The sequence below is a fragment of the Homo sapiens genome, chromosome 5 (genome assembly GCF_000001405.40).
Source record: "Homo sapiens chromosome 5, GRCh38.p14 Primary Assembly".
Classification (NCBI taxonomy): domain Eukaryota; kingdom Metazoa; phylum Chordata; class Mammalia; order Primates; family Hominidae; genus Homo; species Homo sapiens.
Window position 1 is genome coordinate 178,627,385 of NC_000005.10, and position 17,443 is coordinate 178,644,827.

The 17,443-nt window shown below is 44.0% G+C and overlaps 3 annotated features.

The window, feature by feature from the left end:
* Positions 2,702–3,901: an enhancer, noted in NCBI's record as "P300/CBP strongly-dependent group 1 enhancer chr5:178057087-178058286 (GRCh37/hg19 assembly coordinates)". NCBI's record gives its function as "activates an origin of replication core promoter dependent on BRD2, BRD4, P300/CBP, MED14 and CDK7 cofactors, with strong dependence on P300/CBP, by STARR-seq in HCT116 cells {active_cell/tissue: HCT116}" and the evidence as "EXISTENCE:reporter gene assay evidence [ECO:0000049][PMID:35650434]".
* Positions 3,164–3,458: a silencer, noted in NCBI's record as "tiled region #2786; K562 Repressive DNase unmatched - State 20:ReprD". NCBI's record gives its function as "represses a minimal TATA promoter and a strong SV40 promoter by Sharpr-MPRA in K562 cells {active_cell/tissue: K562}" and the evidence as "EXISTENCE:reporter gene assay evidence [ECO:0000049][PMID:27701403]".
* Positions 15,971–17,170: an enhancer, noted in NCBI's record as "BRD4-independent group 4 enhancer chr5:178070356-178071555 (GRCh37/hg19 assembly coordinates)". NCBI's record gives its function as "activates an origin of replication core promoter dependent on BRD2, P300/CBP, MED14 and CDK7 cofactors, and independent of BRD4, by STARR-seq in HCT116 cells {active_cell/tissue: HCT116}" and the evidence as "EXISTENCE:reporter gene assay evidence [ECO:0000049][PMID:35650434]".

Sequence of the window (17,443 nt, forward strand, 5' to 3'; positions counted from 1 at the left end):
CAACGGCCCCAAAACCGCCTAGGGCGGGCCTTGGCTGGTCCCTGGGCTGTTCCCTGGACTGGGTGCTTGTCCTGCCCACTTGGCGCTTCCAGTCTAAGGTGGATTCGGACAAAGAGGCTGTCTCAGAAAACAAGCTCAAGGGGTGCTAATCTTTTCAAGGCACGTGCTCCTATTCAGAACAAAACAAAAACCCGGAGGTTTCAATGGAGACTCCTGACAAGGTTTTCCTGTTAGGATCCCTACCTCCTGAGCAGTTAAGGTCGCTGGAAGTTTCCCTAACGAAGTTTTCCCCATTTTTTTTTGTCCCTGCGGGCTGATTTTATTCAAGGCTGAAAAATGTCTCTGAGCTAGTGATAGTCCGTTATGGGGCTTGCTTACCTCAAATAAGGTATTCTGCAGTTCTGAGGACCCTCAGGCAGTTCCCCCGTGTAAGTATGTAACATGAGAAATATTAGGGTCAAAGTCGGAGCCCTGTGGGGAACACTCAAGGGCCAGAGGGAAAGGGGCCTGAGAAGGAATGATCAGCAGAGGAGGAGAACCAAGAATAGGGTGTCAAAGCAAGGAAGGGCGTAAGTGAGGGAAAGGGTTTAGGTGAGACTGAAGATCGTGGGGGGGGACGGCGGGCGGGGTGGGGGTTGGCTTCTGTATTCTGACGGGGATTCGCTGGATAAAAGGGAAAGCTAGAAATCAAATTTGGGAGGGTAGGGTTGAACTCTTGCGGGTATTAGCCCAGTAGCATGTGGGAGACCTGTTATCCTGTTAGGTGAAAGGAGGGAACGGAAATACCTTTAGTGATCTAACATGATAGAAACTTGTGCCATCTGGTTTGGGTAAGTAGGGTAAATTTAGATAAATCTCGGAGATTGTACAGCATTTCAAAAAGTAAGTTGAATTTTCATGGAGATTGCACTCCAAGAAGCGAAGTTGAAAAGAAACTTGGAAAACTGGAAGGGTAAACTCTTTATGCTACAGAATGAAACAAATGATATTATTTTCATCTAGAATAGCCACCATTTTTGCATCTACAAATTTAAATCTTACTCATCCTTGAAAGGCCATTTCTTTAAGATGCTGTCTCTGACATGAGTTCCCACCCATTTCCCGGCTCCTGACTACTCCAGTTAGATGTGAAGTCCTCAAATAGTGGAGTATTTGGAGCCACCTGGTATGCTAACAGATTTTGCCCAAAGAGTGAAATGTATTGGTTCTACAATTGATTACACATCCCGTCTCAAGGGAATCTATTAGATAGAATGTTGAGCTGACTGGTCTGGGCGATAATACAAGGTAGAGTGGGGCTCAAATTGCAGCATATGAGAATGTAAATTCAAGCTGGCACCAAAGAATGTTCTCCTGTTTCATGGAGTAGGAGAGATCCTGCCTCCTGGGGTTATAAGAAAGTGTGGTCAGGACAGCCCACAATTCTGCTCAAAAAAGCAACACTATGTTAAAAAGCAGCCACTTGAAATGCCACCTACAGAGGCCTTTATATTATAGACGTCACACACACTGTTACCCAATAGTAGAGTCTGCTTTGTAATTACATTCATCTCGCTTTAGTGTTTTAATTTGTATGCCACCAAAAGGTCTAATGTTTAAAAGTGTGTAGTGATCAGAAGGAAGCTGAGAATGACTAGCACCTCTATGCTATGTGATGCAGCACTATGGTGCCCCTAGTCACTCTCTGTGGCTTTGTGCTGAGTTTGGAGACAAGGACCTGATTTATATTGTCTTTGGTATCTCAGGCCTAGAACCCAGTAAATATTTGTAGGTTGTTTACATAAGCTGCTTTGGGCCATTTTGCTCAGTTGGTTTAAGGTCAAAGTGAGTAAGTTAAAGGTAGACATTTCATCCCAGCATCACTGCACCAGTTAGCTTACCACCCTTTCGTGGCAGCCTCAACCCTTCCTATTAAGTCAGTTACCTGGCAAGACTTAATGAAAAGGTTTATCTAAATTTCTGAGAATCTACTACCAATACCAGAAACACTGCCTAATCCAGTGGTTTCATCTCTACACAAGAACAGTATGTCCAAAAAAACCTTTGAGTTAACTGATGTGTCCAAGCAGCTAGTCAAAGGCTGGGCACAGTGGCTCACGCCTGTAATCTCAGGTTGCAGGCAGAGGTGGGTGGATCACTTGAGCCTGGGATTTCAAGACTAGCCTGGCCAACATGGTGAAATCCCATCTCTACAAAAAATACAGAAAAAAAATTGGCTGGACATGGTGGTGCATGGCTGTGGTCCCAGCTACTCGGGAGGCTGAGGTGGGAGGATGGTTTGAGCCCAGGAGGCAGAGGTTGCAGTGAGCCAAGATCGTGCAACTGCACTCCAGCCTGGGTGACAGAGCCAAACCCTGTCTCAAAAGCAAAAACAAAAAGAACTAGTTTAAGAATTTTTTTGGCTGGGCACGGTGGCTCACGCCTGTAATCCCAGCACTTTGGGAGACCGAGGCAGGCGGATCATGAGGTCAGGAGTTCGAGACCAGCCTGGCCAATATGGTGAAACCCCGTCTCTACTAAAAATACAAAAATTAGCTGGGCATGGTGGCGGGTGCCTGTACCCCCAGCTACTTAGGAGGCTGAGGCAGAAGAATCGCTTGAACCCAGGAGGCGGGGCTGCAGTGAGCTGAGATCGTGCCGCTGCACTCCAGCCTGGGTAACAGTAAGACTCTGTCTCAAAAAAAAAAAAAAAAGAAATTTTTAGCTTTGAAGAGCAACCAAAGGAATATTCTTATCACATATTCTAGGATATGTATACGACATGCTTAACTTCAGACATCAAAAACACTCATATATGAGAGCCAGGTTTTAGAGTAAAAGTCTAAATTATTGTGTAAATTAAACAAAAGCTTATTACCGTATAGAGTAACCTTTACAAAGGTATAAACCTTTGCAGTTATAGCCTCTGTTATTAGCTGCTGGTTACTGATACTTACTAATTAGACTTGCTTTTAGCTATCAAATGCTCATTCTATGCTAACCACTTCATATACATGATCTCATTTAATCATCTGAATCCTATCAAGTGATCATTGGTTATCTGCCCTAGATCAGTTATCAAGTCCCAGAATCAGGATTCAGACCCAGATCTTGCTTGCTCCAAAGCTCTTGCATTTAATCCTTTCTACTGACTGCTTCAACTTACACAACAAAGTACGTGGCAACTTACTTCACTTAGTCATTAGAGCAAACATGCTGAGTCCATCTTTCAGCAAGATCAAAGGTGTGTCTTAAAAAACCACTCTCCAAGGTAATATATCATTGAAGGCTTTTCACGATGACACAATGGATCTGTTTATCTCCAGCACATCAAGGTCACTAAAAGTCTCAGTGCCTTATTTGCTATTTAACACTGAGTCACAAAGGGTCTCCCAGGCATCCCACACTGTCCCAGATGAGTAACATCCCAGCTGCCTCCAGTGTTTCCTGATCTATAAAGCAAGATTCAGTGGCACCAAACGGTGCTAGAAGCATTCTCTGGTTCACAGCACACTTCGCAGTGTACATGTGAGGTGGGGAGTGGAAGGGTCCAGGGAGGGATTTAGCTCAGAGGTTGTGTAGGGGAATATGATAGGCTGGTCTTTCCAGCCTCCTTGTCAGTTTCTGCTACCACCAAGGAAAGGGTCTCAGAGCTGAGTCACAGCCGAATGTGCCTTTTGGATACAACTGCCACACAGACTGCAGTAACCTTCAGGACTTCTCATGCTATTGGTTCTAGAAACTGTAGCATATCAACAATTTAACATATGTCCTGCCATTTCATGCCCAAACGCCCTTGAAAGAGGAAGTAACAATTTAAGCAGACTCAGTAATGGGTTCTTAGCTGCAGTGGGTTAGCCATATCATCCCTCTCCATTGATATAGAAAATCAGGAATTGAACTGAGATTTGTTTCTGTCAACTTCAATTATTGGCTTGATGTGGAGTCCCTGGGTTTCAGAGCAGTCCCTAAAATGTCTTATTGATTTCCTAATGTCTGTCACTTATTACCCTATGTCATTGTACCCCAACACTGATCTGATTCAAATCACATTGAAAAAATTTTCCCAGATGTGTTTTCTCTGACGAATCTACTTAGTGATTTTCCCCCAGCATTTAAACCTTCTTATAAAAGTCTCCTGGTTGACTGTGTTATCATTGTAGATCAGATATCAGACTAAAGACTGTGATTGTCTTGGACAATCTATAGGTCTGTGTTGGACAAGCCTGGATATACAGAGACATTTGCAAGAGCAGGCTGGAGTGCAGTGGCGCGATCTCGGCTCACTGCAAGCTCTGCTTCCTGGGTTCATGCCATTCTCCTGCCTCAGCCTCCCAAGTAGCTGGGACTACTGGGACTACAGGCGCCCGCCACCATGCCCAGCTAATTTTTTGTATTTTTTTTAGTAAAGACGGGGTTTCACCGTGTTAGCCAGGATGGTCTCGATTTCCTGACCTCGTGATCCGCCCGCCTCGGCCTCCCAAAGTGCTGGGATTACAGGCGTGAGCCACCGCGCCCAGCTTTAGAGGCCATTTCTCATTCACATTAGTAAATTAGGGTTTACTATTCAACCATCCAATGAAACCATTAAAGAGAAAGTATATTTACCTAAATCCTAAATATTTAAGGAACATTGTAGAATCCTACATAAAAGTATGAAAATATGTAACATATTTGTCTCTCAATCTTCTAGGGTTACTCTTTATTTTAATGTATAAATATCAATGTCCTATTTCATGTAATTATAGGAAGTACAGCATCCTTCAGAGTATTCTGATGACTTCTGGAGAGGCTATTAACTTTTCTGGTAGCCCCCATCACGGCTTACTCTGATTTCTGTTCTGGTTCCATCTCTCAGTTCCCCTATACTATCTCATCTGCAATTGCTGTCCTTACTTCATAAAGTTTTGTGCCAACTATGGACACAGATCCTTTGTCCTTTATTTCCCAAAGCCTATTAATACATAGCTTTAATGAGGAATAGGCTTAAAACTTTGAGGATGCAAGAGTCTCCTTGTATTAGTCCGTTTTCATACTGCTATAAAGAACTTCCTGGAAACTAGGTAATTTATAAAGGAAAGAAGTTTGACTCACAGTTCTGCGTGGCTGGGAAGGCCTCATGGCAGAAGAGGAAGCAGGCACCTTCCTCACAAGGCAACAGGGGAGAGAAGTGTGTGTGAAAGAGGAATTGTCAAACACTTATAAAGGCATCAGATCTCGTGAGAACTCACTTGCTATCAGGAGAACAGCATGGGGGAAACCACTCCCATGATCCAATCACCTCCCACCTGGTCCCTCTCTCAACACGTGGGGATTAAGGGGATTAAAATTTGGGATGAGATTTGGGTGAGGACCCAGAGCCAGCCATGTCATCCCATTTATCCTCGGTTTCACCTCACATGGTTTTAGTTACCCGCAGTCAACTGCAGTCAGAAAATATTAAATGGACAATTCCAGAAATAAAACCTCATATGTTTTAAATTGCACACTGTCGGGAGTAGTTTCGTGAAATCTTGCACTGCCTGGCTCCCTCCTGCCCGTGTGGTGAATCCTCCCTTTGTCCGGTGTATCCCTGCTGTATCCCCTACCTGACAGTCACGTAGTAGCCATCTGGGTTGTCAGATCCACTGGGAGGATATCACAGTGCTTGTGTTCAAGTACCCCTTATTCATAATAATTCTTGCCCCAATGCACGACAGTAGTGATGCTGGCAATTTGGGTATGCCAAAGAGAGGCTGCAAAGTGCTTCGTTAAAGTGGAAAGGTGAAAGTTCTCGACTTAAGGAAAGAAAGTAAAATCATATCCTGAGATTGCCAAGATCTACAACGAGAGCAAGTCTTCTATTTGTAAAATTGTGAAGGAAAAAGAAATTCATGCTAGTTTTGCTATTGTACCTCAAACTGCATAAGTTATAGCCACAGTGCCTGATGAGTGCTTAGTGAAGATGGAAAAGGGATTACATTTGTGGGTGGGAGACATGAACAGAAACGTATTCCAATCGATGCCAACTGAGTTCAGTACTGTCTGTGGTTTCAGGCACCCACTGGGGGTCTTGGAACATATCACTGACGATAAGAGGGGACTGAGATACTGGAGGGTGGGTACAGCACAGAAGTGAAAACAGCTTAAAATTTAGTATCAGAATTCACAATTCTGAAGGTGCCAAATCATTCCCCATTAAATAGGGTCATCTCTTACTGGCCTTTCTCTCCTTAGGTCCCAACCAACCAAGTTCCTTTGAATCATTCTCAAATTTTCTTTCAAGAACTCTCTCCTTTTGGCTGGGCATGGTGGTTCCCGCCTGTTAATTCCAGCACTTTGGGAGGCCGAGGCAGGCAGATTGCTTGATTCCAGGAGTTTGAGACCAGCCTGGCCAACATGACAAAATCCTGTCTTTACTAAAATTAGAAAAATTAGCCAGACATGGTGGTACACACCTGTAATCCCAGCTACATCAGGAGGCTGAGGCACAAGAATTGCTTGAACCCAGGAGGCAGAGGTTGCAGTGAGCCGAGATGGTACCACTGCACTCCAGCTGACCGACAGACTCCCTCCTTCCTTCCTTCTTTCCTTCTGTATTTATTGGGCACTTACGTATGCCACATACTGTTCTAGACGCTAAAGATACAAAAGTATATAAGACAAAGTGCCTATCGCCATGGAGGTTAGGATGTAGTGGGAGAGAGAAAAAAATGGAAATAAATAAAATACTTCAATGTTTTACATGTGCTATGAAAGAAACAAACTAGAGACTGAAAGAATAACTGAGGATGGCTTATTTTAGGTGGGCTGCTCAGAAAAGGGCTCTTGGCAGCTGTAACGTTTTAGTTGAAGCTAAAGGAAAAGGGGAAGCCAGACATGTGAAGGATGGGATAAAAACCTCCTGCGAGTCTCATTGAACTCCATGAGGAAATTGTGAGCATGCTCATGGAAGTTTTGTTTGTCATAGGAAGAAAAACTTGGAAACAAAGTAGAGATCCATCATTAGGGGAATGAATAACTAGAAAATATATATGGATACTGCATATCGGTTAAAAGCTATGAACTAGATTTATGTATAGCATATGAACAGACCTAAGAAACTTAATGTTGAGTGGAGAAAAAAACTCGCGATTTACAAAACCATTTTTGCGGATATTTAAAAACCCACAACTACCCTACATATTTTCAAGGCCACGTGTACGACTGAGTAAGTGACTTGAGGAAAGATTGGAAGGACAATATATGAAACACACTGGAGATGTGCTTCTCAGAGGTCTGAACTTGGAATAGGAGACCACTGAGGCTCGGCATTCCGTTTCCTCTGCAGCTTTGCCACCCGACAGCTAAATCCTTGGTCTGATTTTCAACACAATGTTCCCTATGGCCGCAACAGGCCTTCTGTCTCTACAATGTGCTTTAACTTACAATTGACTGACCTGAGCTTGTCATTTTCCTTCTTCAAAGTTTTTTGTTTGTTTGTTTGTTTGAGACGGAGTTTCACTCTGTCACCCAGGCTGGAGTGCAGTGGCATGATCTCGGCTCACTGCAACCTCTGCCTCCTGGGTTCAAGCAATTCTCTTGCCTCAGCCTCCTGAGTATCTGGGACTACAGGCATGCACCACCACGCCCAGCTAATTTTTTTGCATTTTTAGTAGAGACAGAGTTTCACCATGTTGGTCAGGCTGGTCTCGAACTCCTGACCTCAAATGATCTGCCCACCTTGGCCTCTCAAAGTGCTGGGATTACATGTGTGAGCCACTGAGCCTGGCCTCAAAGTTTTAAAAATAACCAAAAGCAGACAACTCTTACACAATTCTTATAATTGCCATTGCCCCCATGCTATTCGAGTGCCTCCAGCTACTGCATCAGCCAATGTTTCACCTCCACCTGGAACTCATTCCAGTTCACCACCAGTGAGAGTTTTTCTAGATCCAAGGGCTATATTCTTTTTCCTATTTTACCACCTTGTCTCCCTTAGAAGTAATGATAATGGGCATCCTTGCCTTATCACTGTTTGCGAAGGGAATTCTTCTAATACCTACAGGTCATATTTGGCAGGCTTCCAAATTAACCTGCCTGGGGAGGACTTGTGGTTCCTGATGAACTTCTGTCCTGAGCAAAGAATCTTCTTGTGAGTTCCTCAGATTCTTGACATACTAATTAATGCATAACCCACTGACGTTGAACAAGACACTGATTTGTTTCTGAATCCTGAAGTTTTACTGATTGTCCTGCACGTAGAACATTGTAGCCTGCATGCAGTCATCTGTAGCCAATGATTGTAATCTCTATACTGTACCCTCCAATGCAGAGGGTACAACTCCTCTGGGAAGGAGTCCACTCCCTTCTCCTAAACTTTCTTATAAAAGCCTTCCACCTTGTAGCACACTCTAGAATGTGCCAGCCTTCTTGGTGTGTCTTCCCAGGTCAATCCTCACATTTGGCTTCCAATAAAACTTTATCAAATCAGCCTTAGTTTTGGTAACACTTTCAAGATTTTAGTTAAGTTTGATGTTATAACTTTTCTTCTCAGTATGTTGTGGAAATATGTTCACCCCAATAAATATTTATACACAGTCAATCCTGTTTTTTTTTTTTTTTTTTTTTGAGACAGAGTCTTGCTCGTCGCCCAGGCTGGAGTGCAGCGGCGCGATCTCAGCTCACTGCAAGCTCCGCCTCTTAGGTTCATGCCATTCTCCTGCCTCAGCCTCCCGGGTAGCTGGGACTACAGGCACCGGCCACCACGCCCGGCTAATTTTTTGTATTTTTAGTAGAGACGGGTTTCATCTTGTTGGCCAGGATGGTCTCGATCTCTTGACCTCATGATCTGCCCGCCTCAGCCTCCCAAAGTGCTGGGATTACAGGTGTGAGCCACGGTGCCCGGCCTCCTATCTGAAATAAATTCTAAGTATCTAAGTGCTCTCTCTTTAATTGTATTTCCCTGATGATTTGGCTCTCCTTAACAGTTCCTAGTTTTGCAGAATTTGCTTATAAAATTCCTTGCAGTTACAATCTACGTTCCATTTGCATTGTTACATAGTTTCTACAGTGGTCGTATCAACTTGTTTCATTCTCTTGTCTATTAACTCATTAATGAGAAAATACTCTCAACATTAATATGAGCTATATATGTATACACACATATACAGCTATATATCCATACTGCATATATATTGAACATCTGTTATCATAAAATTAATAACTGAAAACTGATCTTCCAATTTGATCCATTGAAGCACATAATACCATCTTTCAAGGAATAACTTTCCATTCTTCAGTATTATTTTACATCTCTTGATCAAAATCTATGTAAAAGAATAAAATTCTTCAAAACCCACTTCAAAAGATAGCAGTGGCAAGTGTCATAAAAATCATCCATTACAATTCAGAATTTATTTTTATTTTATTTATTTTATTTTTTTGAGACGGAGTCTTGCTCTGTTGCCCAGGCTGGAGTGCAGTGGCAAGATCTCGGCTCACTGCAAGCTCCGCCTCCCAGGTTCATGCCATTCTCCTGCCTCAGCCTCCCAAGTAGCTGGGACTACAGGCACCTGCCACCACGCCTGGCTAATTTTTTGTATTTTTAGTAGAGACGGGGTTTCACCGTGTTAGCCAGGATGATCTCGATCTCCTGACCTTGTGACCCGCCTGCCTCTGCCTCCCAAAGTGCTGGGATTATAGGCGTGAGCCGCCGTGCCCGGCCTTCTTTTTATTTTCTTTCTTTCTTTTTGAGACGGAGTCTCACTCTGTCGCCCAGGCTGGAGTGCAGTGGCATGGTTTTGGCTCATTGCAACCTCCACCTCCTGGGTTCAAGCAATTCTCTTGCCTCAGCCTCCCAAGTAGCTGGGATTGCAGACATGCACCACTACGCCTGGCTAATTTTTGCATTTTTAGTAGAGACGGGGTTTCACCGTGTTGGCCAGGCTGGTTTCGAACTCCCGACCTCAGGTGATTTGCCCACGTCAGCCTCCCAAAGTGCTGGGATTACAGACATGAGCTACCGCTCCCGGGCCAGAGTTTCTTTTTATTTTCACAAGCAAGGTTGTCCCTTTTAAGAATTGCTTGATACTTAAAGGGATGACCCTTTCATCAGCTCTTTCTTTAACACAAGATTAAACGATTTGAGCTGGCCAGGCTTCCACCCATTGCCCAGGGAACCTGTGTGTGGGTTGAGGAATGTGTTCAACGTTCAACAGGTTAACAAATCTGCCTCAGCTTTCACTTCCTGCTTGTACGGGGTGTCGAGGTCGGTCACATGCGAGTATAAACTGGGGCCTGTCTTGTTCCCTAGATCTCCCTTTTAAATGTTTTGCTGATTGCTTGCTTGCCCCAACTGTTATCACAGCCTTAGGAGATTCCATGCTCTGCCGGCCTCTGATTGCTACCAAATATTATTGTTTTCAAAAAACCAAGGAAACAGAGCTTTTCCTTGAAGCTCCAAATCATTTCAGCCCCTTTTGGCACCAGTAAGGCAGCCAGTCCCACCAACACTGCACCATGGAGCTGGGGCAAGGGCAGGGGGAAGTGAGAACGGGAGCAGTTCTAAGACGATGTGTCACACACTTTGTTGATCTTACTAAGGTTCAATAGTTTCTCTTGAATAAATGATTTTCAGCTTGTTGTATGCCTTTGCTTAATTTCCAGAGTTCCAAAGTAATTGTTTTTAGTAATTTGCTATTTATTTTTTAGTTGCTGCTTTTGGGAGAGAATGTGTAAAGGTCCTCTCTCTGTTCTTCTAGAAGCTCCCCATGGGTATAATTCAAAATTTTCTGTTTTAATTTAATCTAATATATCAAAAATATCATTTAAACATGTAATTTATATCAATATTGTTATTATTATTTTGTAGAGATGGGGTTTAACCATGTTGCCCAGGCTGGTCTTGAACTCCTGGGCTCAGGTGATCCATCTGCCTCTACCTCCCAAAGTGCTGGGATTACAGGCCTGAGCCACTGTGCCTGGCCTATATCAGTATTATTAATGAAGTATTTTGTTTTCTTTTTTTTTTTTTCGTACCAAGGTTTTATAATCTGATATATATTTTACACTTACAGCTCATCTCAATTTGAACCAGTTACATTTTCAGTGCCTAATAGCCACATTGGCTAGTGGCTACAAGATTGGACACACAGTTTTAACTGTTGCTAGAGTAAAGAAATGCTGCTGGTTTTTAGATATTAATCCTATGTGTTGTCACCTTGCTAAATTCTCTCGTCATGTCTAATTTCCTGTCTTTAAATTATTTGGGGCTTTCTAGGTAAAAGATTGTATCATCTGCAAATAATAATGGGCTTGTTTCACCTCTTGGTCTTTACACCTCTTATTTATTTTTCTTCTGTTACTGTGCTACCTAAGGCGACCAGTACAGCTACAAATGGAAGCAGTCATCGTGGGCAACATTGTCTTGTCAGAGCTTACAAGAAATATTGTTAACATTTTGCTGTTAAGAATGCTGTCCGTAACAGGTGTTGATAGCAACTTTTCATTAGATTGAGATGGTTCCTTTCCATTTCAAATTCATACACTCACATTCTTGGTGAGCATTTTATTTGCTTTTTATTCTTCTTTTGAGATGATTGCATGATTTTTATAGTAATATAAAATTACATTTAGAGTTTAACTTTAAGCTACTTTGTGGAAAAACCTTTTATATACTATACTTTTCTGGGTCATTGTTGCAATTTTTTAAAGGCTTTTTGTGTCTATGTCCATGAATGAGATTGGCCCCCACTCTTTATTCTCCTGTAATTCATTATCCATCCAGAAGTTGGAAAAGTCTTAGAAATACTGAACTCATTACTTCTCTACAGAAAGCTATCAAAATTTTCTAAGTTTATTTAAAACAAATTTAAAACCATTATTCCGGCCAACAAGGCCTTACAAAATCTGGTATATCTTATGCTATTCTCCATTTACCTTCAGCCTTTTTCAGTGCTACTCAATGTTTTTCTGGATAGCCTATCTAGTTCATTAAGACAAGAAAGATAAATAAATGAATTGCAGAAAAAAAACTGTTATTATTTGTGGATGTTATCATTGCATGTGTAGAAAATGGAAAATACATCTGTAATCCCAGCACTTTGGGAGGCCGAGGTGGGTGGATCACCTGAGGTCAGGAGTTCAAGACCAGCCTGTTCAACATGGTAAAACCCCGTCTCTAATAAAAATACAAAAATTAGCTGGGCCTGTTGGCGCGTGCCTGTAATTCCAGCTACTTGGGAGGCGGAGACAGGAGAATTGCTTGAACCCAGGAGGCGGACGTTGCAGTGAGCTGAGATCTCACCACTGCACTCCAGCTTGGGCGACAGAGCGAGGCTCCATCTCAAAAAAAAAAAAAAGAAAAAAGAAAATGCAAAATAAGGCCCAGCATGATGGCTTACTCCTATAATCCCAGCACTTTGGGAGGCCGAGGCGGGCAGATAGCTTAAGCTCAGGAATTTGAGATAAGCCTGAACAACATGGTGAAACAACATCTCTACAAAAAATACAAAAAAATTAGCTGGGCGTGGTGGCGCAGGCCTGTAGTCCCAGCTACTCGGGAGGCTGAGGTTTGAGAATCGCTTGAGCCTGGGAGGCAGAGGTTGCAGTGAGCCAAGATTGTGCCACTGCACTCTAGTCTGAGCAACAGAGCCAGACCCTGTCTCAATAAAAAAAAAAAAAAAAAGAAAGAAAAGAGAGAGAAAGAAAGAGAAAATGCACAACATAACCTGTAAATCATTAGCAAAGTTGATGGATATAAAATCAGTGTAAAAAAATCAAATATGTTTCTGTCAACAATATATCTTAGCAAAGTTTTATCATTTCTACCATTTTACCTTATGGTAAGAATGATAAAACTTTACTAAGAGATCTTCAGGAATACCTACATAAAGATACCAAATTCACTGGGTAAAAGACTCAATATTAAAAATACTGCCCCCTATTCTTTCCAAATTGATCCATTAGATCAATTATAAGCAAAATCCCAATGGGGCTTTTTGTAGAAACTGAGAAGCTGATTCTAAAAAAAAGTGATAAAACTACAAAGAGCCACGACTCGCCAAGTGACTTGAAGAAGAACAAGGCGAGAGCACATGCTCTAACAGAGATTGTAGTGAACCTATAGTGACTAAGACAGCATGATGTCGGCACAAGGATAGATAAGTAAACCAACAGAACAGAACAGAGAGCCCAGGAACAGATCTCCATACGCCGGGTGCCTCCGGAAAAGATTCCGAGACTCTGATATTTGTGGCACGAAGTTTCATAAGGAGTATTCTCAGGAAGAGCACCTTGAGGTGAGCACATGTGTTGCTTCAGCTGGTCCTCTCAGGAAATCTGGGTCTGAAGTCACCCTTCACAGTTATCCCAGTTGAGTTAGGAGGTCCCGATCTTTATATTCCAACGTTGACCAGTCATTAGAGGTAGGCTGACCCCAGGGAAGGCATGTAGCTTTGAGAAAGAAGCTTCCTTAGGTTGAGGGCAGTTTCTAGACAATGACTCATCTGTAAGCTGGCAACCAGAGCAGTGAGTGCACTGGTCCTGAAGTGGGATATGGGCGGCACAGCACCGTGTCCACTGCAGGCCACCCTTCCACTGCAGTAAGCCCTTGCCATCTGGAGCTACTCTTCCAGGTTTCTGGCTGGTCTCTTTTCCTGATGGGTTAATGGGATGAGGTTTGGCCCCTTCTGCTGCAGCTTGTTTCCAGGCCACAGCTGGTACCCACTGTCTCCCTCCACTTTCCAGCTTAGATTCTCTGCACCTGTGGCTAGCTCCTTTGCTGGTCTTGGCGGCTCATCTGGGAAGGTAACCCAGGCCCTCAACCCTGTGTGTTCTAAGCCTCTAGTCACCTCGTCCTTCTCAGGCCACGGCTTACTTTCTTGTCCATTTACTGTTAAGACTGGGAAAGAGGCTGGGCATGGAGGCTCATGGCTGTAATCCCAGCACTTTTGGAGGCCAAGGCAGGCAGATCACGAGCTCAGGAGTTCAAGACCAGCCTGGCCAACATGGTGAAACCCCATCTCTACTAAAGATACAAAAAAATTAGCCGGGCATGGTGGCACACACCTGTAATCCCAGCCACTCGGGAGGCTGAGGCAGAAGAATCACTTGAATTTAGGAAGCGGAGGTTGCAGTGAGTTGAGATCACCCCACTGCACTCCAGCCTGGGCGACAGGGCGAGACTCTGTCTCAAAAAAAAAAAAAAACAAAGGCTGGGAAAGAGGGTACCGAGATCACCCGAATGGGTTGCTCAGTGTCTCACTTATCCTTCGCATCCCCATGGTGTAACAGCAGTCCGGCCTCCTCCTGATCATCAGGGTTAGTCACCTCTGGCGGGATCTTGACTCTTTTTCTTGCCTTCTAATCTCTCGGCACAAGACGCTCAAATGAATGGGCAACAGGTCAGCTGTAGCTTGAAGTTTAATGGGACATTTTCTGTGTCTTTCTGCATCGTCCCTCTGAGACCTGAGACCTCTCAACCCACAGAGTGTAGAATTGTGGGGAAACAAAGCACAGACTCTCCTCGTGGTGTTTTTGCCACATCACAGATATCTCTAATACTGTAGGGTCTTCCAGATTTTATAGCCCAAGGGACAGGGCTGTGTACACCAAAGCTGAGACCTGCTCCGTAGTCATTTCCCGCTCTGGGTCTCAATCCCGAGTAGCTTCTCCTATGGTCATGGCTGGCCTCAGAGGACGGCCCCCACTGAGCTTCTCGGTTATGCTGGTGACCTTCTCATCGGCACTTTCCTTATCTCCTTGAAGGATGGAGCCTCTTCGAGGCCCTCTCACAAGGCAGAGTCAGCTGATGAGTAGAGCACACCCTCTAGCATATCTCCTTCTGGGTCTTATGTTCCCCTCATCTGCCATTTTCCACAGCATTTGCAGCATTTGCACTTCCTGCAGGGTGACAGGCACTTTCCCCAGGCTTCATCTGTAGCAGCACGTTAGCTTTGTCTCCCAGGGGCCTTGCCTCGGTGTTAGATCCTGTGTCACAGCAGAGGGCTCCCGTATCAATAAACTCGCCCTCCCAGGCTTCTGTTGCACAGCTCTCAATGAGCACCTTTGGGATCCAGCCCATGTTTCCTCTTTCAGCTCCTGCCAGTGCTGTGAAGCAAGTTCACTGTGCTCTAGTTACCACACTGTCTGAATCTGGTAAGACAGAACACCCACATATAAATTACATGAAGAGGGTTTGTTACTTACTCATAGGAAGCAAGGGACAACGGAAGCCCAGGATTCATTGGAAGCTAATCCCCAGGGCTCAGGAAAGCCCCCTGAGGTTGGATTGGAGTCTTGCTGTGGTGTGTATGCTCCACTTGGACTGCAGCCAAAGGGCCATGGAAGAAAGTGCAACCTGGGTTTTATGCCCCAGGGCAACATGACTCACTGGAATAAGGCATTGAAGGACATCCTGTTTCTGGGGTAGGGGGGACTGGAACAGAGCCCAGGCCTTTCCAGCCAGCTTCTCCTTATCTCACATTGTTGTGTTCCCAGCACATTCTATGGTTTTTCCTGAGAACTGCAAGTAAGAAAGAGGAGAGAACTGGGTTGGTCCAAGGCCATCTGCAGAACTGTCCTGCAAGTACTTGTTGGCAAGGTCCTGCAGTTCCTTTGCCTACGGTTCTTTCCTTCCCTTAAGAGGCCCAGCACTTGCCTGGCCAGATTATGTTGTAGCTTGACCCTAGTTACTGGTCTTGGGACTGGGGAAGAGGGGATTGATCCTGAGAAGGGTGCATGCTTTCCTTTAAAGCAGAAGCCTCCAGATCTTCTTTACATCTTCAAGCATGGAAGCAGCACTGACCTTTAACAGGGAAGAACGGGCCACTTCTGCAGACCCAGGAGGTTCAGAGCAATCTAATAATGCAAGATTTTTTAGTGCGTCAACACAGATATCCCTATTTCCAGTGTCAGGCTCCTATTCCTTCCCAATTAGGATCCTGACTTTGGCATAGTAAACCTACTGGAGTTGAGCATCCAACCTTCTCTGGAATTCTACTATTCTTATGTCTAAGTCCTGTGAGTACTTGCCATGTTCTCTTTCTTGGCTTAGTGATTGCTTTTGTATTTGTTTTATGAGTTTTCAACTCTATGTGCTATGGTTTGAAAGTTTTTGTCTCCTTCAAAGTTCATGTTGAAACTTAATACCCAAAGCAACAGTATGAAGAGGTGGAGCATTCAGGAGGTGATTAGGCCATGAGGGCTGTGCTCTCATGAATCGATTAGTGCCTTATTAAAGGGCTTGAGGGGATGAGTTCACCCCTTCTACCTGTTGTATCAAGTGAAGATGCAGCTTTTCTCACTTCCGAAGAAAACAGTGTCCATGCCGCCATCTTGAAAGCAGAGACCAGGTCCACACCAGGCACACCCAACCTGCCAGTACTTTGATCTTGGAATTTCCAACCTCCAGAATGGTGAGAAATAAATTTCTGTTATTTGTAAATTACCTAGTCTGTGGTATTTTCTTATAGCATCATAAATGGACTAAGACACTATAGGAAAGCTACGGCCAGACAGGCCAAATCTGGCCTGCTGACTGTTTTTGTAAGTGAAGTGTTACTGGAGTACAGCCACACCCATTCACTTACCTCTTGTCTATAGCCGCTTTCCCTCTACAGTGGCAGAATCGAATAGTTATGACAGAATGTATGGCCCGCCAAAGATGAAAGTATTTATTATCTAGCTAGTTACAGAAGAAGTTTGTTGAGCCCTGCTTTCTACCATATATTTTAATTTGCTCTTTTTGTATATGTATTATATCTCTCAATCTAAAAAAAGAAAGAAAACCTAGCAGCTATCCACTCATCCTGAGAACATATATATAATTATTATGCCTTCCTATAAATAATTGTTTGATTATTTAAAACCAATCTAAATATTTGCCAAGGGCCTTCATGGTGAAGGCTCTACACACCAGCCTGTAATTTAGGTTTGGGGATTAGTTGAGTCACACGTGGGAAACCTGGAGCCCACCAATCTCACCTCACTCTTTTATTCCCCTTCATGCTGCTGCAGGCAAATTCCTTGATTCAAGGAGGAACACCAGGTGGCTGTCTGGGGGTCATCAAAGGTGACCTGAAAAGCCCTTTTCTGCACTGGAGACATGACGTTGGAACAAGGACAACATCTCTAATATCAGGAAGGGTACCAGAGGTGACTTGCTGGGAGAAAAGGTGAGAGCAGGGAAGAGAACATGTTTACTATTTGGGGGCATAGTACGTTTGGAACAGCGACCGTGGGGGTCAGTTATAAGGCATGTAGATGAGCAGAAGGATCCCTAGAGAGCTTTACTCCCAGAAGGAGGAGATGGAGACGTCTGTGTACATGAACTTGTTCACTGAGAGCAGCTGTGATGACATGCCTATAATCAGACATGTGGGTAGGAGTGACAGTGTGCCAGAGCCTAAGACAGGGGTGGTCGGTGGGTCCTTTGGGGAGTGACAAGGGGTAGTGGTTGCAGCCCCTCCCAGTGTGTGTGTGTGTGTGTGTGTGTGTGTGTGTG